The sequence below is a fragment of the Homo sapiens genome, chromosome 8, assembly GCF_000001405.40.
Source record: "Homo sapiens chromosome 8, GRCh38.p14 Primary Assembly".
NCBI classification, from domain to species: domain Eukaryota; kingdom Metazoa; phylum Chordata; class Mammalia; order Primates; family Hominidae; genus Homo; species Homo sapiens.
The window spans coordinates 143,397,134-143,419,540 of NC_000008.11; the positions used below are offsets into that span (position 1 = coordinate 143,397,134).

The 22,407-nt window shown below is 58.4% G+C and overlaps 1 long non-coding RNA gene across 7 annotated transcripts, besides 8 other annotated features; it reads left to right on the forward strand.

The window, feature by feature from the left end:
* Positions 3,370–4,017: an enhancer, noted in NCBI's record as "H3K4me1 hESC enhancer chr8:144482673-144483320 (GRCh37/hg19 assembly coordinates)". NCBI's record gives its function as "activates a minimal SCP1, AML or CMV promoter by ChIP-STARR-seq in primed H9 embryonic stem cells {active_cell/tissue: H9 hESC(primed)}" and the evidence as "EXISTENCE:reporter gene assay evidence [ECO:0000049][PMID:30033119]".
* Positions 4,018–4,665: an enhancer, noted in NCBI's record as "H3K27ac-H3K4me1 hESC enhancer chr8:144483321-144483968 (GRCh37/hg19 assembly coordinates)". NCBI's record gives its function as "activates a minimal SCP1, AML or CMV promoter by ChIP-STARR-seq in primed H9 embryonic stem cells {active_cell/tissue: H9 hESC(primed)}" and the evidence as "EXISTENCE:reporter gene assay evidence [ECO:0000049][PMID:30033119]".
* Positions 4,164–4,340: a silencer, noted in NCBI's record as "fragment chr8:144483467-144483643 (GRCh37/hg19 assembly coordinates)". NCBI's record gives its function as "represses an EF-1alpha promoter that drives an FKBP-Casp9 reporter gene in an ReSE screen in HepG2 liver carcinoma cells and K562 erythroleukemia cells {active_cell/tissue: HepG2 | K562}" and the evidence as "EXISTENCE:reporter gene assay evidence [ECO:0000049][PMID:32094911]".
* Positions 4,666–5,313: an enhancer, noted in NCBI's record as "H3K27ac-H3K4me1 hESC enhancer chr8:144483969-144484616 (GRCh37/hg19 assembly coordinates)". NCBI's record gives its function as "activates a minimal SCP1, AML or CMV promoter by ChIP-STARR-seq in naive H9 embryonic stem cells {active_cell/tissue: H9 hESC(naive)}" and the evidence as "EXISTENCE:reporter gene assay evidence [ECO:0000049][PMID:30033119]".
* Positions 5,314–5,960: an enhancer, noted in NCBI's record as "H3K27ac-H3K4me1 hESC enhancer chr8:144484617-144485263 (GRCh37/hg19 assembly coordinates)". NCBI's record gives its function as "activates a minimal SCP1, AML or CMV promoter by ChIP-STARR-seq in naive H9 embryonic stem cells {active_cell/tissue: H9 hESC(naive)}" and the evidence as "EXISTENCE:reporter gene assay evidence [ECO:0000049][PMID:30033119]".
* Positions 8,500–9,479: an enhancer, noted in NCBI's record as "H3K4me1 hESC enhancer chr8:144487803-144488782 (GRCh37/hg19 assembly coordinates)". NCBI's record gives its function as "activates a minimal SCP1, AML or CMV promoter by ChIP-STARR-seq in naive H9 embryonic stem cells {active_cell/tissue: H9 hESC(naive)}" and the evidence as "EXISTENCE:reporter gene assay evidence [ECO:0000049][PMID:30033119]".
* Positions 10,503–10,822: a silencer, noted in NCBI's record as "silent region_19620". NCBI's record gives its function as "represses an Ori minimal core promoter by ATAC-STARR-seq in GM12878 lymphoblastoid cells {active_cell/tissue: GM12878}" and the evidence as "EXISTENCE:reporter gene assay evidence [ECO:0000049][PMID:35858748]".
* Positions 10,863–11,062: a silencer, noted in NCBI's record as "silent region_19621". NCBI's record gives its function as "represses an Ori minimal core promoter by ATAC-STARR-seq in GM12878 lymphoblastoid cells {active_cell/tissue: GM12878}" and the evidence as "EXISTENCE:reporter gene assay evidence [ECO:0000049][PMID:35858748]".
* On the forward strand, positions 11,060–22,017 carry MAFA-AS1 (MAFA antisense RNA 1). 7 transcript variants are annotated; one of them, NR_186793.1, is made up of 6 exons: positions 11,060–11,236; positions 12,682–12,855; positions 16,059–16,349; positions 19,781–20,028; positions 20,591–20,786; positions 21,842–22,017. It is a non-coding gene; the product is annotated as an MAFA antisense RNA 1 (long non-coding RNA). The 7 variants fall into 7 exon arrangements; NR_186792.1 differs by having other exon boundaries at positions 15,931–16,171; positions 19,777–20,786; NR_186791.1 differs by having other exon boundaries at positions 16,059–16,246; positions 19,781–20,786.
* The last annotated feature ends 390 nt before the right edge of the window (positions 22,018–22,407 follow it).

Below are 22,407 nucleotides of genomic sequence, written 5' to 3' on the forward strand. Positions count from 1 at the left end.
ACTGTATGTGGCGCCTGCCTCCAGCCCTGCTCTTCCCAGAGCCCTCCTGGGTCTGGCCTGGGCCAGGCCTGCCCTCCAGGGACTCCCACAGGGTGCTGGGCGGCAGGGCCCCGCCCATGCCCTTCTGCTCAAACCTTGGGTGCTCTACCCTCCCACTGTCCCCTCCTGGACTGTCACTGTTCCTCCTAGGGGGCAGTGATGGAAGGGGCCCACCTACCCATATGTCCCCTGGTTCCCTCAGTCACCCCGACCCTGGCAGGAGGGTTAGGCTGGCCTCGTGAGCCCCAGGACAGGCTGTCCTGAAACGGTCACCTCCCAAGCCCAGTGTCCCACTCAGAGCTGGGCCTCCATAGAGGACCCCACAGGACGGCTTGATTACTTAAAATTGTGATTACGGTAAAATGTGTTACGATTTCAGCCATCTCTGAGGGTGCACCTGAGTGGTGTGAAGCGCGCCCACATCCTCGTGCCTCCAGAATCTTCCATCTTCCCAAACTGACTCTGTTCCCGTGAAACACTCGCCTCCCCAGCCCCCGTCCCCACCCTGTGAATCGGAGCCTCAGAGCCTTAGGTCACTGGGGTCACAGCATGTGTCCTGTGCCCACCACCTTCGCTCAGCATGGGGTCTCCCCAAGGGGCTCTGGCGAGGGGCGGGCATCCTTCTGGCTGGGCAGGTGGAGGGGCCCCTCACCCAGGAAGGGTGGCGGAAGCCAGAGAGGCCCTGAGGGTGAGGGTTTGAGGGCGGATGTGTGGGGGTGGGGCCGCAGTAACTACAGGCCAGCAGCAAATGGACAGCTCACAGCGGCCGGCAGAGAGCATTTTTAATGGTCCCTAAAGCCCTCAGCCAGCCAGCGCTGAGCTCAGCATCCCCTCGGTGAGCCTGGGAGGGGCGTGGGGCAGCCCGGGACCACCTCAGATATCTCCCACTGCCGCCTCTTCCCTGCCAGGACCCCCAGAACCCACCCAAGAACTCAGGGGCAGGGGACAGAGCCCTGCGGGTCCCCAGACCCCGGTGTTGATCGTTCCATGCTGGGCCGGAACTGCCCTGCCCTTGGGGACTCTGCAGGGATATTCGGAAGCTCCGCCAGCACCCCCGCCCTATTCGTCACAGGGCCCATTAGGTGCTGACAGTTGCTTCCCCATCTGCCTGGCTGGGGCGGGGCCAAGGCCCCAGGGGCCCATCCATCTTGGACCCTGGGGTCTTCCTCTTCCTCCTTGGTCTGGGCTGGAGGCCTCTGAGGGTGGCCTCCCCCAACCCAGACTCCGGGGTGGGGGCAGGCGTCTTCCGAGAAGGACAGCAGGGAGGAAGTGTGGGAGGAGGCGGCTCCCTGGCCAATAGGGCAGCGCAAGGCAGTCCCAGCACCATCACAGTCCAACCCTGGGGGCACCAGAACCCGGGGACTCCTGCTTGGGCTGGGGGAGCCTGGAGCTGATTTGTTAGCTCTCCCACCCCAACCAAGCTCATTCAGCTGGGGCTTTGGGCCTCAGCTGCCTATCACCTGGGCGGGAGGGTTCGTGGGAGGCCAGCTAGGCTCCAGGCAGCCCAGACAGGGTCCAGCCACCGGCCTTGTGGGACTGGGTGCCAGGTGTGGGGGAGGGAGCCAGCAGCTCCCCGGGGTTCCCCTTGGTTCAGCACCCAGGCCCAGCTGTGGGTACTGGGAGCCCAGGGCTTCTAGGAGCCTCCTCTGGGCCTGTGGGGAGGGTCTGGCAGTTTCTTCACTCTTCCCAGAGGGTGTGGGCAGGCCTTGGGTGCAAGAGATAGCCTGGCCCGGCACTGCAGCTGCCCTGGGGTCAGGACTGCCTGGCAGGCTGTGGTTTATTTATATGACCAGCTTATTTATTTATAGGGTTCTTGATGGGAGGTGCGGGCCCTGGCCTGCACCCCAGAGATATGCAAGCCCCACCGCAGAGGGGCAAGGGCGTACCCCTGGGCCATAGCCAATGCCCACTACTCCTCCGGGAGGCAGTCCTCAATTGCACACTCCCCTCCCGAACCCACCTCCTCCCTCGGTGGGGAAGCAGAGGCCACAGAGGTGAGCGTCACTGGAGGCGTGCCAGGACACAGCGCAGGACACAATGATGACATCAGTCTGATGTCACCACCTCTATTGAGCCCTGGCTCCAGGCTGCCCCCCTGTGATCCTGCTGGCTGTGGCTCCGTGAGGGTTGGGGGTGTCAGGGGCACTGGAGCTGGGCAGGGCTGAGGCAGTATGGACCCAGCCAAGCTCTGGGGCCACCAGACTCCCCTCCTGCCTTTCACACAGGGTGTCCAGATAAAATTCAGTACACCCAGGTACTTGTGAATTTTAGACAAGCAATGAATTTTTTTTTAAGTATAAGTATATCCCAAACAGTGCATGGGATATACTTAGACTAAAATGGTTTTGTTGTTTTTTTAATCAGAAATCTAAATGTAACTCCGCACCCTGGATTTTTGTTTGCTAAACCTGGCTGCCCTCCTGGCACTGGGCAAACACCTGCCCAGGAGCCCCCAGAGGAGAGAAAGACCTCGCCTTGGCAGGGGTGTGTCCCGGGAGGCTGGGACAGGCTGGCCACCCACACATCACTGTCCTTGCCCTGTTTCCTCTGTACTTCAACTTCCCACTTGCCCTGTGCCCCCACCCCTGAGGCCCGGATTAATTTGGGAAGGACAATGTTTATATTAACCATTCATTTATCGACGTCTGCTTGCTGGGTCAATGGCCAAATTTATTGTCTCACAAGATGGGCCGCGTCGAGCCGCGTGCAGCCTTCACCCTCCCCTGCCAGCCGGGGCAGTCGGCCGCTGTCAATACGCAGACCGCTGACCTTGGGCCTGCAGTCTGCTGGGGGCTGGGATCTCCCGGAGAGGCTTCTGGAGCAGGAAAGGGGTGGGCAGTGGGGTTCACCCCTGCATCACCCCGTTGCTGGGCTCAAGGGCCCACACTCACCCCCACAGCCAGGGGGGCACTGACACAGGCTGAGGGTTGGGCCCAGGCAGGGGGAGGGTACAAGCCCTAGAAGAGAGGCCCCTGGGGACCCCGGGCCACACCCCACTGAGCACCTGCTAACGGCCGGCTCGGGCTGCCAGTCTGATGGGGGAGGCAGTCACCAGATGGCCCCATGAAAGACGGTTTCGTGGGCTGAGGAAAGGAGACTCTGGGGGTCCCAGGCTCCTGAGGAGACACCATATTGGACCCCACCGGGGGGGCATCTGGAGCAGGGAGGGGCAGAGAAGCCTGGGGAGGGGACAGAAAACCTGGGGGCTGGCTGCCCCCCCAACCCCTGGTCACCGGGCTGTCATCGGGGCAGAGAGGAGCACTAAGGACCTGCGATGGGGTGGGCACAGGTCTTGGGACACCTGTGCCTGCATGCCGGCCTCACAGGCTGGCTGAGGGCGGGAGGGGTGGGAGTGTGCCAGGCCCCCTCCAGCCCTGGGGCATAGTCCATGGGGGCCTTGTTCTCCCTCTGTCTCACGACATCCTCCACACCACTCCACACCCCTCTCCAGGAAAGACCCTGAACCCCAACTCCCAGGAGTCCCTTGAACCCTCATAACCTCAACAGACACACCTGGGAATGCTCCTCAGAGGAGCAGCTCGGGCACCCCAAGCTGAGGCCCGTGCCCACCTGGGCTGCGCCCAGACTCCGGTCTTGAACCTCTGGGCTCTCCTGCTCTTGGACAGCTCAGTGCATTCATTCAGCAGTGGGCCCTGCTGAGCGTCCCCCAAGCGCAGGGCCCTGAGGAACAGCTGTGACCCAGTGGACTAAGACCCCTGCCCTCCAGGGCCTGGGTGTGCAGCTGGGTGGGGGCGGGTCCAGCCACAGCATCCATCGGCAAGGGGGGAGGGGCTTGCAGGCAAGGTGGGGACCTGCAAGGGCATGGTATGCGCGCTGGGTCTGTGGCCCCCTGTGCAGGGGTGAGTGGCTGCAGGGCCGAGAGGAGGCTGTGCAGGGGTGAGAGGAGGCTGTGTAGGGGTGAGAGGAGGCTGTGCAGGGGCGAGAGGAGGCTGTGCAGGGTGAGTGGAGGCTGTGCAGGGGTGAGAGGGCATGCCAGTCCTGTGGGAGGTGGGAAAAGGGGGTCCAGGGTGAGCAGCGGGCTCGAGATGGGGGTGTCTGCTGGAGCCTCTTCCCAGCTGCCCAGTGCGTAGACCTCAGGGACACCTTGCCAGCCTCCCCTCCCCGGCCTTCCCTCCACACCCCAGGCTGTGCTGCACCCTACGGCCACCAGACGGCGTGCAGAGCCCAGCAGGCATACAAGGCCTGGCGGGTGGAAAGGGGGCCTGGCCAATGGGCTCATTTGTTGGCCGGAGCAGGCAGTCAATGGCCTGGGACAGCAGAGGTGCTGATTAAGATGCCACACTTGAGTTAGAACCTCCTGCCAGCGGTGATGAGCAATTGATCAGCTTGTCAGGGGAGGCGGCCCAGAGATGGGGAGGGGAGTGGAGGGGAAGGGAGGGCAGAGGGGAGGGGAGGGGAGGGGAGGGCAGAGGGGAGGGGAGGGGAGGCAGGGTGGGAGAAACAGGGCGGTGTGGGGGAGAGCGATGAGAAGACACAGGTAGATGAAGAGAGACAGAGACAAAGGAGAGGCATATCCAGCGAGCTCTTGCCCACAGCCCAAGCGTCATCCCACCTGTGACCCAGGGCTGGGAGGAGGGTTGGAGACCCTCGGGACAGGTGGATCCCAGCCCCTCAGCACCCCCTTCCCGGCATCCCCCCCAGCGGGCGGGGCATCCTGGCTTGCAAGTCTTTCTGCTGTTTCCATTTGTATGTAGAATTTATAGACTTTTTTGTTGAGCATTTTAAAATTTACAGAAAAGTAAGCAGAAAGTGCAGAGCCGCGGGCCTTGCCCTCGACCTGTCCCCGCTCCCCGCTTAGCCCCACAGTGCTCCGTTTGGCATCACTGATCAGCCGCAGGGCTCGCCCGAAGTCTGCACTGACACCGGGGCTCACCCCAGGTGTGCCACGTGGGTTCTGGTGCACACTGCTGTTTCCACCGTCGTGGCACCACACGGAGGGGCGTCACCACCCTCAGCACCCCTGCCGCGCCCCCAGCTCTCCTTCTCCCGACCTTGGCAGCCGCAGACTCTTCCTTTCCCTGTGGTTTTGCCTTTCCCAGAGTGCCTTCTGGTGGGACTCACAGCATGTGGCCCTTTCAGAGGGCGTCTTTCCCTTAGAAATGTGCCTCGAAGGCTCCTGCTGGTCTTTCCGGGCTGGAGAGCTCCTTCCCTGTGGTGCTGAGTAACATCCCCCTGTCTGGAGGTTTGGGGCTGATCTCCCAACCCCGCTCCAGGCTTGGCTCTGAAGAACAGAGCTGCCTTGACATCCGCATGGGGGTTGGTCAGTTTCTGCTCATCTGGGTGAACACTGAGAGTCCGCTCCCAGACCCCGTGTGGTGAGAGTGTGCTGAGTGTCCTAAGCTGTGCCCAGCTGTCCTGCCGAGGCTGCCCCATCTGCACGGCCACTGCCATCGGTGCCTCTTGCCACTCCCGCCTTCTCTCTGTGCTTCTCCGTTGCCGGCCTCACAGCGTTCTCCTTTCAGCTTCAGATGTTCGCCCTTGCCTGCCTTCCACAGAACAGGAATCTCCTGCCCCTGACCCCAGCTGCCTCTTGCTTGTCATCACCAGCTGTGGTCACAGCCGCGGGTCTGGTTGGTCACCCTGGACAGCGTAGATACAGTGTAGATACTGCCCACAGTCATGGTGGCCTGAGGGCTGCACTGTCCTGAAGTCAGGCGTGCACTCTCTATCTCTGTCTCGCTCTGTCTCTTTCTCTCCCTCTCTCTCCATTCATGTCTCCACCCCCACCCCATCTCTCTCCTGCTCACTCACCCCTCTCTGTCCTGGCCTGCACATGGCCTGTCCCCACACTGAGTGTCAACAGCATGATTTCAGGACCTTTTGTTTTGGTTTGTTTTTGAGACAGGGTCTCGCTCTGTCGCCCAGGCTGGACTGCCGTGGTGCAATCGCAGCTCCCTGCAGCCTTGACCTCCTGGGACTCCAGCGATCCTCAAGCAGGTGGGAGGTTCTGGGGGTGCCCCCTCTCCACCCCTGGGGCAGAGATCACCTTTCAGTCTCGGTCGGCCCCCACCTCAGCTTCCGGAGTAGCTGGGACTACAGGCTAGTGCCACCACACCAAACTAATTTTTAAATTTTGTGTAGAGGCAGGGTCTCACTAGGTTGACCAGTTTGGTCTCGAACTCCCCAAAGGCTCCTGCTAACTCAGCCTCCCAAGGTGAACTTCGGGCCCGTCTCTCTCCAGTATGTCCGTCATTCTGGGATGACACAGTCACTGCCCTGTGGCAGCTTCCCTGGGCTTTTCCTGGAACCCTCATCTTCTTCCTTCCTGGTTTTCTCTCCCATTTCTAGAGTGCATTGCCTGCTCGCTCCCTCAGAAAGGGAATGCGGGGCCGGGCACGGTGGCTCACGCCTGTAATCCCAGCACTTTGGGAGGCTGAGGCGGGCGGATCGCCTGAGCTCAGGAGTTCAAGACCACCCTGGGCAACATGGTGAAACTCTGTCTCCACTAAAATACAAAAAATTAGCCGAGCATGGTAGCACATGCCTGTAATCCCAACTACTCAAGAGGCTGAAGCATGAGAATCGCTTGAGCCCGGGAGGCGGAGGTTGCAGTGAGCCAAGATCACACCACTGCACTCCAGCCTGGGTGACAGAGTGAGACTCCGTCTAAAAAAGAAAGAGGAAAGAAAGAAAGAGAGAGAGAAAGAGAGAAAGAAAGAAGAAAAGAAAGAAAGAAAGAGAAAGAAGGGAGAGAAGGAAGGAAGGAAGGAAGGGAGGGAAAGAAAGAAAGAAAAGAAGGAAAGAAAGAAAAAGAAAGAAAGAAAGAAAGAGAGAGAAAGGGAAAGGAAGGAAGGAAGGAAGGAAGGAAAGAAAGAAAGAGCGAAAGAGAAGGAAAAACAAAGGGAACATGGTCGGCAGACCTCCCAGCCTTTGCCCACCCTGAAGCATCCTTCTCCAATCCCCATGGCAGCGGGTGGCCCGGCAGCAATCCCGGGCATGGAAACTGATTGTGAAGAGGCTGTTCGTCGGTGGTCTTGCTCCTGGGGAGGGCCCCGCCTTTCTGATGTCCTACTTTGTGTGGGACCTGCTCCTCCAGCCCCCGAGCCTTTAGGTGCCCACAGTCCTCAGGGCTGTGAAGTTCATGCTGACATGTAGGTCACCAAGTGTCAAAGGAGGTGCCCACAACCCAGAGCGGGGGATGTGTCACTGTCGTTGGCAGGGCCTGGCTGGTCCTGTGCAATCCTTGGTGCTCCGGGGACAGCTGTGTGCACCCTGGGACCCTCCCAGGGAAGCTCCCACCTCTTCATCTGGTGGAGGGTCCTGCCGCAGGGTCCCCATCCCCAGACAGTCCATCCCAGAGCTGCCCCACCCATGCCCATCCCCCACCTCAGTCACAGCCTGATTTGGCAGCCACGGGAGTCCAGGTCCAGGCTGGCACCTGGCTGGATACCCAGGCAGGTCCTGGGGGGAACCCCTGGTTATCAGAGGAGAGGCTGGGGCAGGCGGGAGGCTCTGGGGTTGCCCCCCACCCCCCGGGCTGAGGTCACCTTCCAATCTTGGTTGGCTGCATTTTTTCGTGGTCCGGCAGAGTGGCCTGAAACCCAACCCCAAGGCTCCAGTTCCCTCTGGCAGGGCCGGGAGGGCTGGGCTGACTGGGGATGCCTTCCCCACACCCCAAGGAGCCCTGTGGGTGGTGGGGTGTACAAGTCAGAGACAATTAGAGAGGGGTGACTTTGCCTCTGCCACCCAGCTGGGGCCCTGACCTCTCCAGCCCCTGTGTCCCTGCTATTCGGTCCCCTGGCTCGGCTGGTCTCTGGCCTCTCTGACTGGCTGTGGGTCCCTGCAGGGTTACGTCAGATGCCACCTCCACCAGGAAGCCCTCCCTCTCGCTGCTGCCCCTACGCTTCCTGCAGGCCCTGGTGATCCAGCCACGTGGTCAGCTGGGCCCCCGCACATCCCTCCCAGAAGTCTGTGGGCTTCTACCCCCACCCTGCCTGCTGCTCCTGCTGGGGAATCCCCTGTCAGCGAGGGAGGCGTGCCCTGCCTTCCCCAGTAAGATCCCACTCCTTTCTTGTCCCATCCTGCACGCCTGACCTGATGCCAGGTGTCCGACCTGATGCCAGGTGTCCAGCCTGATGCCAGGTGTCCAACCTGATGCCAGGTGTCCGGCCTGATGCCAGGTGTCCAACCTGATGCCAGGTGTCCGACCTGATGCCAGGTGTGCAGCCTGATGCCAGGTGTCCAACCTGATGCCAGGTGTCCGGCCTGATGCCAGGTGTCCGACCTGATGCCAGGTGTCCGGCCTGATGCCAGGTGTCCCCTTGGAGCAAATGGCAGTGTTGCAGGTGTTTGTTTGTAAAATTGCAGCTCCTCGGCTGGGCTGGGCCTCGGAATCCCAAGGGCAGGGATCTGCCCCGGGGTAGCTCCTGGTGTCCCTGCCCCTGACAGCAGGGGAGGGGGCTTGCAGGGAGCCTGTCCCTGGACTCCTCCCGAGGACCCCTCACTGGGACCCTGACAGAACTAGAGTCTTGGAAGGGGCTCAGGAACCTGCAGCTGAGAAGCCCCTGCTGCCCTCCGCCTCCCTCCGTGGCTGCCCGGTCTCAGCCTCGAGTCCCCCCACCCCTAAGAAAATTAGCTATCTGTGACCAATACATTCCACTTTGCTCAAAAGTATTTGACTGGGGAAACCATGAGCAAAGAATTTCATCGCTTTAAAAAAACACATTGAGTGCTGGCTGGAATCAAATTCTTTTAATTTTAATCAAGTGTATTGGCCCGAGGGGTTTCTAGGAGAAAGCCCCACCCACTCCTAGCACCCCCGTCCTCAGGAGGCCCCTGCCCGGCCTCCACCTCCAGCTGTTTGCCTCCAGGCAGGACTGTGCCAGCTCCCAGCTCACTCTCTCTGCCAGCCTGGGCTCCCAAGGCAGATCTGATGTGTCCCTATCACAGCCCAGGGGGGCAGGACGCCTGGCTCAGCGCAGATGCAGGCTGAAATCCCAAGGCCTGCAGGCCCTTCTGCAGCCACACCCCAGGGACCTCAGCCTCCTGACCGCTCCTGCTTGCCAGCCGCCAAGACAGCTGCACCCCAGCCCTTACTCCCTCAACTCCCTGGCCCTGCGTGGCCCCGGCCAGCCTGAGTGCTTTCCACTTCACGCTGCCCATGCCACCATCTCCTCTTCCAAGGACTGGGGCGATGTGCCCCTGTGGGCTCCCACCCCCACCTCTACCCACAGCACGCGGCCTGGTGAGACGTGAGGCTCAAGGCCTCCCACAGCAGCCAGGAGGGAGGGCTGGGGCCCCTCCCCTTCAGCCAGGGGACCTGGTAGGCTGGCCTGGCCTCCCCCGCAGGACCCGGGTGGAAGGGAACTCTGCCCAGGGCGTGCTCCCCACAGTGGTCCTCAGGGACAGTGGAGGAGGCCGCCTTCTCACAGGCTTCCTCTCCAACCCCAGGCAGCCTCAGCTATTCCCAAGAGGCTCTCCTGGGTCCGCATCCAAAAGCTTCCTCAGCCCACAACCCCTGGAGAAGGCAGAGGTAGGAGGGAAGGCTGGAGGACCCCTGCTCTGCACAACCAAGCTCTGCCCTGCCTGCCTCAGGCTGGCCTGGGCACTGATGCCACTCAGAGCCGAGGACATCAGGGCCTGGAATCTCCGCCTGGTAGGTCATGCCCCTTCCTGGTAAGGGGACCAGGGGTGATCACACACCCGAGTGGGGCTGGCCACCACCCCAGGGGCAAAGCCACTGTCCCGGGTCTCCCGCCCTGTGCCGGGCCCCACTGCAGCCATGCACGAGCTGCCTGTGCCCCCCACGCCCCATCACAGGCTCTGCTGCTGGCCGGGCAGAAACTAAGAGGGGCCCTGGGGTCCTGGCACCCACAGCCTGAGGGGAAGGCCGGTACCAGCCCGGCCCACAGGGTGGAATCAGGGTGCTGGTCCCTCGCTGAGTGAGGGGTCCTCCCCGAAAGACTGCCTGACTCAGGCCCAGTCTACCAGGCTGTGCCACTGACCCTCCCCAGGGACCCGTCTAGGCGGCAGGGACTCCCCAGGCCCAACCCAAGCCATCTTTCCCTGCGGGGCGTCGTCCTGCTGGGTGCTCAGTTGGCGTCTCCCTGGCGAGGGGCCCCAGGACTCTTGACAAGGAGAGCTCAGTGGCTGGTGGTTCAGGCATGAGGGTGTCCGTTGGGGGCAGGCCTTCTCACCCTCTCAGGAGGTCCCAGGCTTCTCACCCTGTGCCCGCATTTCTCGCTTCTGCTCTCGCCTCCCCCTCGCCCACCCTCGCTGTTGTCCCCCTTGTACCCCGCAGGAGCAGACCCCGCGCACGTGCACTGGCCGCCCGGGGACCCCTAGCCGGGCAACTGCGGGGAGACAGCTGTGCCCGCGCGCGGTACCCCCGCCCCACCCTCCAGGTCGGGGCAGCCCCGGGCACCGACGGTGGCAGTCGGCGTGTCACCTCTCCTGCCATCCGCAGGGCGCAGCGGGCACGTGGCCCCTCCAGATAAGCAGAGCCCGGGGCCCCAACTCGCTTCCTCATGGCGGGCGGGGGGCAGCCCCAGGCGGCGCCATCTGACGCCCCCGCCCTGCGCGCTCCTACCCCCCACGTCCGCTGCCGTCTGTCGGTCGTGGAGCCGCGCTAGGCCACGGGGTCCCGGCCAGACGGGAGCGCCAGCCCCTCCCCCTGTCCCGATGTCCCCAAACCCAGGCTCAGCCCCTCCCTCCCCGACCCGATGACACCCCTGGGTCCTAGAATGCTGCTGGGGGCGGGAGACCGGAGAAGAAGCAGGTGCACGGGGAGGTGGGTGTCCTGCCCTCTGCGAGGAGCCCACCCCCTGGACCTTCTCCTAGCGCTAAGATCGGGTTCAAGCACCAAACCCGTCCCGCCTCGCCCAGGTCCCCGGCCGGTCCCCGCCCTGCCCCTTCCTGCCACGGCCCCTGCCCCGATCTGCCCCGCCCCTTCCGGCTCCGCCCCTCCGGCCTCGGCCCCGCCCCTTCCCGGTCCCGTCCCTCCGACATCGGCCCCACCCATTCCCCGCCCACCCTTTCCCTTCCCGGCCCCTGCCCCGCCCTGTCGTGTCCGCCTCTGCACTGGGATTCCTCCAGCCCCAGCAAGTCCCTCAGGTGGTCCCAGCCTCTGTGTCCGCCTCTGCTCTCCCAGAGCGCCTCAGGCAGAGCAGCCAGGATGGGGACCAGGCCCGCCTTACCGGGAATGAGCCTGTCACCTGCTCCTCCCACCCCGCAGCAGGTACGTCTGTCATCAGCACCCACCTTACAGCTGAGGTCACTGAGGCTCAGCGAGCGCGTGGCCAATCTACAGGGCCCCTCTTCTCTCCTCCAGGGAAAAGAGGGTGCGGTCCTACTGCCGCCTGGTGACCCAGGCCTGGCTGGGATGGAGACCGGGGCTGGTGGGCTGGACGAGAGTGGCAGGAGGTCTCTCCAGACAGTCCCCAACCCCCAGGCTCCCCACCTATCCCCAGGCTTCCCTCCGTCAGCCTTCCCACCCCCTAGCCCCTCTCCTCACCCCACGAGCCTGTTGGGGAGGGGCCGCTCAGAGGAGAAGGACTCCCAGGGTGTGGGGTCTGGCCATGCTCACCTGCCTCTCACCTGATGCCATGTTCAGGTTCCCGTGGACCTGTGGCTGCTTGGAGAGGCCGGGGGTCACAGATGGCGCCAGGACACTGTGGTGAGGAGTGAGTGTGCTGCCCTGGGGGCAGAGCCTGGACAGGGCCAGTGGCTGGAGGCTCCAGGACACACTCTGCCCCAGGAGGCTGCCCGGAGAGGGCCTGAGGCCCAGCTCCCAGGACGCTAGGCTGTCCTTGGGCAGGGATGCTGAGGGGTGTGTGACAGAGGAGAGAGCCCAGCATGGGGAGGGGTGACCAGGCCTGAGAGTCACAGAAGGACAAGAGAGGCCACAGGCCGTGACCAGAACCAGGGAGATTTGGGACCATCAAAGTTGGGGGTCAGGCCAGGGGTGGGAGGAGGGGCAGGGCCTGGGGGCCCAGGCCAGAGGTGCAGACATCACAGCCAACAGCTGGGGCTGAGGGTAACAGGAGGCAGAGGTGAGGGCACAGGGGCCGGACAAGGGCCAGGTAGAGGGTGGGGGCCAGGGTGAGGGGTGGGGGCCACTTCCTGGGGATGCAGAGAGCAGAGCTGTCCAGGCTGGGGAGGGGGACTTGGTGCCAGGTTGCCCTTCACCCTCCTTCAGTCTCAATAAAGTCACTAATTAGCATCCTGACCACTCAATTAGTTAGGCTGTATGCACTTAATTATGACAGAGTACACCGGTGGGGGCAGGCAGTGCCATCAGCTCCTCCAGCCCCAGGAGCCAGGGTTTATTGACCAGAAAAGACATATGAGACTGTGGCCCGCAGCCCTGCTTCCTGATGCGGGGCAGGGTGAGCGGAGGGGTAGGGAGGCAGGCGGGAAGACCCCCACCCTGAGCGTCTACAGGGGTTCCCATATCCTCTGCTCAGCTCCCCCAGGCCCCTGGGAGGGAGTCCTCCCCACTCCACACCTCTGGCCTCTGACTTCCACCTGTACCTGCCTCTTTCTCTCAGACTGCGATTACCTGAAGGGGTCCAGGCAGGGTGGGTTCATGGCCTGGTGCCTCCAAGTGAAGGCCACACCACTTCCCAGCCCTTTGCTCCTGGGGCCTGGAGCAGATGTGTCTGAGTCAGCTTCTCTTTGTAGCCTCTGTCGGGCTGACAGTGACTTCAGGAATGCTCTCCTCCTGCCGCACTCTGGACCTGTTGGCCATGCTGTTCAACTTAGCAAATGTTCTTCCTCACCGCCAACCACAGTGGCCAGGTGCAAGTCCCTCTTGGACAACCTCAGCCCTGGATACACCGCCTTATTTACCACTTCGTGAGCAAAAATAGTCCTTTTTTTTAAATGGGGTCTCCTTCTGTTGACCAGGCTGGAGTGCAGTGGCGCAATCACAGTTCACTGTAGCCTGACCTCCTGGGCTCAAGCGATCTTCCCCTCAGCCTCCCAAGTAACTAGGACTACAGGTGCATACCACCATGCCCAGCTAATATTGTTTATTTTGTGTAGAGACAGGGTCTAGCTATGTTGCTCAGGCTTGACCTTTAGTTTTTCTCAGAATTTCAAGAGGTTGTGTCTTATCTGCCAACAGATCATGCAACCAGCAAGGCTCTGGTCCAAGTAGGAACGGATGGTAAACTGGGCAGTGATGATGGTGGAGATGGTGGTGGTGGTGATGATGATGACAATGATAATGATGATGGTGATGGCAGTGGTGGTAGTGGTGATGGTGCTGGTGGTGCTGGTGATATGATGATGGCAGTGATGGTAGTGATAATAGTGATGATAATGTGATGGTAGTGATGGTGGTGGCAGTAATAGTGATGGTGATGGTGGCAGAGAGGGTGGTGACAGTGATGTCAGTGGTAATGGTGGTGGTGATGGTAATGGTGATGGTGGTGGTGGTGATGATGGTGGTGATAGTGGTAGTGATGGTGTGGTGGAAATGATGGCTGTGATCGTGATGATGATGGTAGTGATGGTTACAATGATAGTGGTGGTAGTGGTGGTGATGGCAATGATGGTATTGATGGTGATGGTGGTGGTGGTGGTAGTGATGGTGGTGGTGGTAGATGGTGGCAGTGAAGACGGTGGTAATGGTAGATGGTGGCAGTGAAGATGGTGGTAATGATGGTAATGGTGATAGTGGTGCTGGTGGTGATGGTGATGGTGGTGGTGGTGGTAGTGATGGTGATGATGATGGTGATAGTGATGGTGGTGGTGGTGGTGGTGCTGTTAGTGGTGGTGGTGGTGTTGCTGGTGGTGTTGGTGATGGTGGTGGTGGTGGTGGTGATGGTCATGGTGGTGGTGGTGGTGGTGGTGGTGATGGTGGTGGTGGTGGTGGTCATGGTGATGGTGGTGATAGAGCCAAGAGGCTCTTGGGACCATATGGCTGGGACTGAAGGCAGTGTAGACACAGCTGACCCTTCATGAGGGCTCTGCCTGGCTCTAGTAGCTTCTATCCTGAAAGCCTGGTGAGTGTCTGAAGGATGGTCCCCTTGTTAAGTGAGGGCAGGCTTGTGGATTTCAGGGGCCCCAGAGGCCTGGGAGGACATTTAGTGGGGGCGGGGTCCTCACCAAAGACTCAATGGGCTCTGGAGTTCCTGTGTCTCCTGAGACCTGCGCCTGACGTCACCCTCTGGATGGCCTCTGGCCTCTACCTGGGCTGGGGTGTCCCAGGAACAGAGAAGGACCCAACTATTGTTGGGGACCCCAGCACTCTCTGTCCAACCGAGCCTGGGGCCTGGGTGGCAAATGTGGGCATTGCGAGAGTGGCAGGACTGGGAGGAGGCCCAAGCCCTGGGTAGGGCCTGGGGGGTGCCAGGTCCACACCTCCGAGGTGGTGAGTGGTGCAGACAGCTGGTGCCTGTGGGTCCCTAACAAATGCAGCTGAGAAGTGGGCCCTCAGATGTCCACGTGGCATAACCCTGCTGTGACTGAAGCCGCCAGCCTGGATTGAACATTCTTCAAGATTTCTGCCTTCATTTAACAAGTATGTGTGTCACTCGTGTTGTGAGCCAGGCACTCCATGCAGCCAGATCAAGGCAGGGAAGTCCCTGCCCAGGAGTACTCATGTCCCAGTAGAGACAGAGGCCACAGGGCTTGCCCTGTGAAGCCAGCAGGCCCTGGGGGCTGGCTGTGATGAGGACCTCCGAGTCCTTTGGGGAATCTGCTGCCCAAGTCAGACCCAGATGGAAGCCTGGAGCTGCCCCGCAGGAGCAGGGAGGGAGTGCTCTGTCCTGAGGTATACAGCTTTTACTAGCTCCGATGGGGTGCCTCTTGGGGTCCCCCAGCCTGGGAAAGAGGCGCCATCAGCTCTAGGAGGCTGAGAGCCTGGAGTCTTGGCCTCTGAAGGCTGCGTTTCCTGGATGGCAAAGTCCAGCAGGACCCTGGCACCAGGGGTCCTTGGGCAGGCAGTTGGTCCTAGGCAAAGAAAAAAGGGCAGAGCTGCCCTAGCTGAGAGGGTGGAAGGCCATGTGCCCCCCCCAACCACGATGGGCGCTAGGAGTCAGATACAATTACTCTCTCAGTGTATCATAATTACTGCAAATAGCCCATTAAAGAGAAATTATCATCAATATGATATTAGCAGACAGCGGGGGAAATGAAGAAAGAAAAGTGCTTATTCTCTCATTGTCCCCTTAATGGGGACAAGGGGTGGAGAGGCAGTGGCCCCTGTTCACTGACCTCACCTCCCTGCCCACTGCATGGAGCCACGAAGGACCCGGCAGGCTGGGAGCCAAGGCATGACCCTGGAAACAGCAGTGCAGGAAGAGCGGGTGCCATGGGTGGAGTCGGACCTGCCTCTGCCCACTGTCGGGGGCTCCGCTGTCGCCTCCCAAACCTGGCTTTAGTCCAGCTTGGGTGGCTCGGGCCTCCCTTGAGGTAGCCTCTGCTGCGCCCCCACCCCCACCGTGAACCCTCCAAGGGAAGGCCCTGGAGTAGGAGGGGTCTTGGTTCAGCCTGTCCTGAGCTTGTGGCCCTTTAAATCCTGGGAACCAGGCTCCACTAGACGTGGCCTCTGGAGCACAGGTCTCTCCCAAACATCACCAAAATGACCGAAGAGGAAGAGGGAGGTGCCGTTTGCAGGAAAGAGAGAACGGGAGTGGAGCAGCAGCCACCAGTGAGGGAAGAGGTGGCAAAGTGCTCCATGGCTGGGGTGCCTATCTTGGCAGAGTGGAGCAGATGGTGAGCCAGACGTTCAGCTGGGCCCGGGTGGGCATCCGTCAGAGCCATTAGGCCCCTCGCTGTGGCCTCTCCCAGCCACAGGGGACCCTGGGGAAACTGGGCCTGGGACCAGGCTCACTGGAGGGTGGGTATGAGGCTCTCACTGAAGATAGGGGATTGAGTGGCCATCACAAACCAAGCTCAGCCGCCTGCCCCTCCTTCTCTTAGCAATGACACCAGCAGCCCATAGTCCCCAGGCAGGAGAGCAGAGGAGCCTTCCTTGAAAAACTCAATGGCCAGAGGAAAAAGACCAGCCTCTCAAAATGATAGATTCCCCATTGCCTGGTCCTCTACAGAAAGGCCCATCTGCCGACAAGACCACTGCCACCCTCTGCCACCCTCCACCACCCTCCGCCAGGTCACCAGAATGCCAGGCCTCACTCATGATCAGCTGAGCACCAGCAGGCAGGTGAGAAGAGCCTCCAGTGTGGAGCAGGTCAACCAGCAACAGAGCCAGGGAGACCCATGGAGTCCAGAGAAAACGGTAACAACGGCAGCAGCACCCAGAGACTGGCTCCCAGTGAGTTAAGCCCAGCCGCGACCCTTGGATGTGCCAGCTGATTTAATACTCATGATAAACCCAGTAGGTCAGTGCCAGTATTATGAGAGAAGTGAGGCACAGAATGTCACATCCACCTCCCCAAAGTCAACAGCTAGGAGTGACAGAGCCAGGATTCTGCCAGGCAGGTTGGCCTCAGAGGCCACACTTCTTATCCCAATAATAAAAGTGAACAAGAACAGGATGAAGTTAGAGTGAGAGAGCGAGAGTGGTAACACTCATGCAATCAGAGAACAAGAGAAAGCTCAATGGAAACATGTATTCACTGACAGGATTAAAACACAAAACAACAAAAAGAGAGACGGCCAGGCGCGGTGGCTCACGCCTGTAATCCCAGCACTTTGGGAGGCCAAGGCAGGCAGATCCCCTGAGCTCAGGAGTTTGAGACCAGCCTGGGCAACATGGTGAAACCCTGACTCTACTAAAAATACAAAAATTAGCTGGGCATGGTGGGGCATGCTTGTACTCGGGAGGCTGAGGTGGGAGGATCACTTGAACCCGGGAGGCAGAGGTTGCAGTGAGTCCAGATCGCACCACTGCACTCTAGCCTAGGTGATAGAGTGAGATCCTATCTAAAAAAAAAAAAAAAAAAAAATAGAAGGCAGGAAGGAAATATCAGAAAAATGCAGAATTGATCCAGGAGGTCCAAGTTCCAAAAGGAGTCAGAAAGAGAAAGGAGAGAAAAAGGTGGGGGATCAATGATCAAAGAACTAAACTGAGACCAGCGCCCAGAATGACAAGGCACAGGCCAGACAGCAAGGCTCACCCAAGTCCAGCACAATGCAAGTGACACGTGTGCATCACTGTGGAATTGTAGACCACTGGTGCCAAGGAGTGCCCCAAAAAACTTCCAGAGGGGGAAAAAATAGTCACATATGTCTCTCTCTCTCTTTTTTTTTTAAGGATAAAGGGAATTCTTTTTTTTTTTTTTGAGTCAGGGTCTTGCTGTGTTGCCCAGGCTGCAGTGCAGTGGTGTCATCATAGCTCACTGCAGCCTCTAACTCCTGGGCTCAAGCGATCCTCCAACCTCAGCCTCCTGGGTAGCTGGGACTACAAGCAAGCACCACCATGCCCAGTTAATTTTTTAATTTTTTTTGTATGGATGGGGGTCTCACTATGTTGCCCAGGCTGCAGCAGGTTGGTCTCAAACTCCCGGACCCAAGTGATACTCCCACCTGGGCCTCCAAAAGAGCTGGGAATACAGGCCTGAGCCATCATGCCCAGCCACATACTGTCTCATAAAAAGGCAAAGCAACCCCCAAATGCAGAAGGAGCTGAGAAACCAAAGGAGGAGGCAGACAAATTCAGCTTGTTGTTAAAGTGTGTTTTATGGGGGATCTTATGAACAGAAGAGTGGTCTTGGACAGCCACAAGACATATAGATCTCCACACCATAATTCCCCAGACCCAGAGGTTATATACCATAGGGAAAGGGTACATGTGCTTCAGAGGGAATGGGGAGGAATTTGATCTAAAGGCAGGACTTACAGTATATGCTCTTATGCAAGAAACAACAGATAAACTGAAAATCTCAGAGGCATTCCTGGAACCAGTGTTAGTCAGAAGTCAGCATGGTGGATTAGCTTCCATGGTATGTTACTTTAGCCTCCACACATACCAAGGATTAGTAGTAAAGATGGAACTGGACTTCCAGTAACCACACAGAAGCTCAAAGACAGAGTACCTTACAGATGCTGAGGAAAAGAGACTCCCAACAGCAAATTCTATACCCAGCCAAACTATCTGTCTAGTGTGAGGAAATACTAATGACACTGTTAGATTTGTTAAATCTCAAAACACTTATCTCCCATGCATCTCTTCTGAAGAAGTATCTGAAGGATGCTCCCCTACAAGGAGAAGTCAACCAAGAAAGAGAAGGGGGTGCCAACACAGGTGAGGCAGGAGGGGCCAGCAGGCCTGGAGAGCAGCCAGTCCAGCTGTGGCAGGAAACTGGTTGGCTCCTGCTGAAAGGTATCCAGGGAAAATGGCCTTCCTAGATTACACAATGCAAGTTTCTGTGTGGAAGCCATGTCACGAGAGATTTCTAAAATGATTAGAGCATTTAGGAAGAATTTGTTGTTGACACATAGAAAACCAAACAAAGGAAAACCAGGAGGCAATTTTTAACTCCAGGAAAAACAAAGAAGTTGCTCAGGAAAGAGCATTTAATTATAGTATATAACGTTGTTCAGGCAAGAACAATTCTTATGTAGTCATGATAATTTAAATATGGAATATTTTTAAGCTAAAAGTATTGTGGGGTTTTGTTGTTGTTGTTGTTTTGTTGTTGAGACGGAGTCTCACTCTGTCGCCCAGGCTGGAGTGCAGTGGTGTGATCTCAGCTCACTGCAAGCTCCACCTCCTGGGTTCACGCCATTCTCCTGCCTCAGCCTCCTGAGTAGCTGGGACTACAGGCGCAAGCCACCACGCCCGGCTAATTTTTTGTATTTTTAGTAGAGACGGGGTTTCACCATTTTAGCCAGGATGGTCTCGATCTCCTGACCTCGTGATCTGCCCGCCTCAGCCTTTTTTGTTGTTGTTGTTGTTTTTTGGAGACAAGGTCTCACTCTGTCACCCAGGCTGGAGTGCAGTGGTGTGATCACAGCTCACTGCATCCTAGACCTCCCAGGCTCAGGCAATCCTCCCACCTCAGCCTCATTTGTAGCTGGGACTACAGGTGCATGCCACCATGCCCAGCTAATTTTTTGTAGTTTTGGTAGAAATGGGGTTTCATCACATGGCCCAGGCTAGTCTTAAACTCCTGGGCTCCAGCAATCTGCTTGCCTTGGCCTCCCAAAGTGCTGGGATTACAGGCATGAGCTGCTGCACCCGGCCTAAACTAAAAATGTTCACATAGTATATAGGGAGGATGTGGGGCGGGGAAGAGCAAATGTGTAATGGAGTGAAATCCTAAACAATGCCTAAAATTAATAAATCAAGAAATAGTAATATAAACATTTTATTTAGAGATTTGGAGGTGTACTAGTCTGTTCTCGCACTGTAATAAATTACCAAGACTGGGTAATTTATAAAGAAAAAGAGGTTTAATGGACTCACAGTTCCACATGGCTGGGGAGGCCTCATAATCATGGCGGAAAGTGAAGGAGGAGCAAAGGCGCGTCTTACATGGTGGCAGGCAAGAGAGCGTGTGCAGGAGAACCGCCTTTTATAAAACCATCAGATCTTGAGAGACTTATTCACTATCACGAGAACAGCACAGGAAAAACTCACCCCCATGATTCAATTACCTCCCACTGGGTCCCTCCCATGACACATGGGGATTATGGGAGCTGCAATTCAAGATGAATTAGGGTGGGGACACAGCCGAAACATATCAGGAGGTTCCTGGAAGAAACAGAGTTGAAAGCAGTTATCTTGCTGAGTGGGGGACTCAGGGCATGGGCAGGAGACTGCTGAGTTTTGTTTTACGTCTTACTACATTTGATTTATAAAAGACAGATGTGCATATATCACTTCAAAAAAACAAAAGTGGATGTGGCTGATGCCAAAGTGACCTGCCCCAGAAGAGCTGCTAACAGAACAGCATCCCAGGAGGCTGCAGAAGGCTGAAGAGCAGAGCCCACACCTGCTATGGGCCACAAGAGGCCCTGGATGCCATGGAGGCCGCAAGGGCCCAGGCGGGACTTGCAGAATGAGAGTCCTAGGCCCAAGTATAGAGTCCCTGGTGGGCACAGAGGAGAGACCAGGTCAGTGGGAGGGGTTGTCAGACCCTGTGGAGTGCCCCACCTGTGTGCCAGGCCCAGAACTGGGCTCAACTCTGATGGTAGCAGGTGGAAAGTAGACTTCACTACTGTGGGAGTGGGGGCATTCCTGGACACAGGGGGAAACCAGCTCACAGAACAGCCTGGGGTCTTCTTGGAGGAGGCCATTTTGGCCCAGATCCTAAAGGAAGACTGGAAGCCTCAGGGGGCAGTGAGAACAGGGACAAGAGAGGGCAGGTCTCAGGACTGACTGAGCAACTCAGACTGACCTGGATCAAACTGTGGAGCCGGCGAAGGGTTTAGAGGGTTGCTGCAGGACAGTGGTGTCTGCAAAGACGCCTCTGGCTGCTGTCTGGAAAATAGACAGGGGAGGCTGGGCAGGGGTCTGGGCAGGGGCTGGACAGGGGTGCTGGGCAGGGGCTGGACAGGGGTGCTGGGCAGGGGCTGGACAGGGGTGCTGGGCAGGGGCTGGACAGGGGTGCTGGGCAGGGTCAGTCCATCTCCATCCTGCTTTCCTTTTCTTTCTTTTCAACAAATATTGATGGAGCACCTCCTCGGTGCCAGGCGCTGCTGCAGCCTCTAGGAAATCAACCGTGGAAACACACGGACCCTGCCCTCCCGGCGCCAGTGTTCTGGTGGTCAGGAGGTGAAGAAAACCAGCAAGAACCAGCACAGGAATCCGACGGTGGCAGCGCCGAGAGAAACAAGCTTGGAGGGGAAGGAGAGCTACAGAGGCTGCATGGGTGAGGCCAGCTTCTTGAAAATGGAGGTGTGAGATTTGAGGAGGGCTCTGGAGAGAAGAGGGAAGAGGGCCCAGGGGAGAGATGAGCAAAGGTTCGGTGGTACAAACTGAGCTCCCTCACTCCACGTTTGGAGTCATTCCACAGCTTCCTAAACCACCCACCCAGGCAACCCCATCCCCCTACCCACCCATCCACCCACCAACTCACCCCCAACCCCCCACCCACCCATCCTCCCACCCACCTGCCAACCCCCTACCCACCCACCCACTCATCCTCCCACCCTCCAACCCCCTACCCACACACTCACCCATCCTCCCACCCACCCTTCAGCCCCCTACCCCCCACCCACCCACTCATCCTCCCACACACCCTCCAACCCCCTACCCAGCCACCCACCCACTCATCCTCCCACCCTCCAACCCCCACCCACCCACCCACTCATCCACTGACTCTCTAACCCCCTACCCACCCATCCACTCACTCATCCACTCTTCCCCATACCCCCCCACCCACCCACTCATCTTCCCACTCACCCCCATACCCCCTACTCACCCACCCACTCACCAACTTACCCGCCCATCCATTCATTCACCCTCCTCCCACTCACCCACTCCCACCCATCCCCCATTCCCCCATGCCTCATCCTCCCATCCATCCATCTACCCACTCACCTACCCAACCACTCACCCATCTACCCACTCACCCACGCACCCTTCCATCCATCCACCCACCCATCATCCACCCACTCATCTGCCCATCTCCCCATTCCCCCACCATCCCATCCATCCATCCACCCATCCACCCATCCATCCACCCAACTGACCATCCACGTATCCACTCACCCACCTGTTCACCCATCTACACACCATTTATTCACCCACCATCAACCATCCATATATCCTTCCATCCAGCCACTATCCTCCCGTTCCTACCCATCCTGCTGTCTTCCTCATCTTTCTTGTCACACGTCCAGCTGTCTGTCCGTTCATCCACCCATCACCTCATATGCTCCTTTTGTTTTTACCTCTTTCACCTTTCTTCATCTTCAAATGCAGATGTGATGGTTGGAGTGGAAGCTGACATTGTGGGCCAGGAGACCCTGGGAGTACAGGCCAAGATGAAAAGAGCCTCAATCCAGAGCGTTCTGTGAAGCAGTCACCACGGCCACCCTGGGCCATCAGCTTCTGGACTTTTACAACATAGAAATTAAATTTCCATTGAATTTGTTGGAGTCATTGTTCCTTCAGCTCTCTGTTACCTGCACTTACATCTCTCTGTGAGTCGCGGAGTCTTGCAGTTAAGGTATTAATATTATTGCGTCTCAAGGTGCCTCAGGTCAGAGGTTCCAAAGGTGAATGAGGGCACAGCTCTCCGTCTGAGACTCACGGTGGAGAAGCCTCCTCACCTTGCTCCTTCTCCCTGTCACCAAGAAAGGAGGTCTGGGGGAAGGAAGGGGTCCGTGTGGCCCTCCCGCCCCCACACTGTCCCTCTTGGATTCTGCTAGCCTGTGGGTGTGGGCAGCAGCTCAGCCTGGCCCTGGAATTTTCCATAAAGGTCTTTCCAGGTAAGAATGATTAGACAACATATTTTGTATTCATTATTATATAGTGCGTTTTAAATG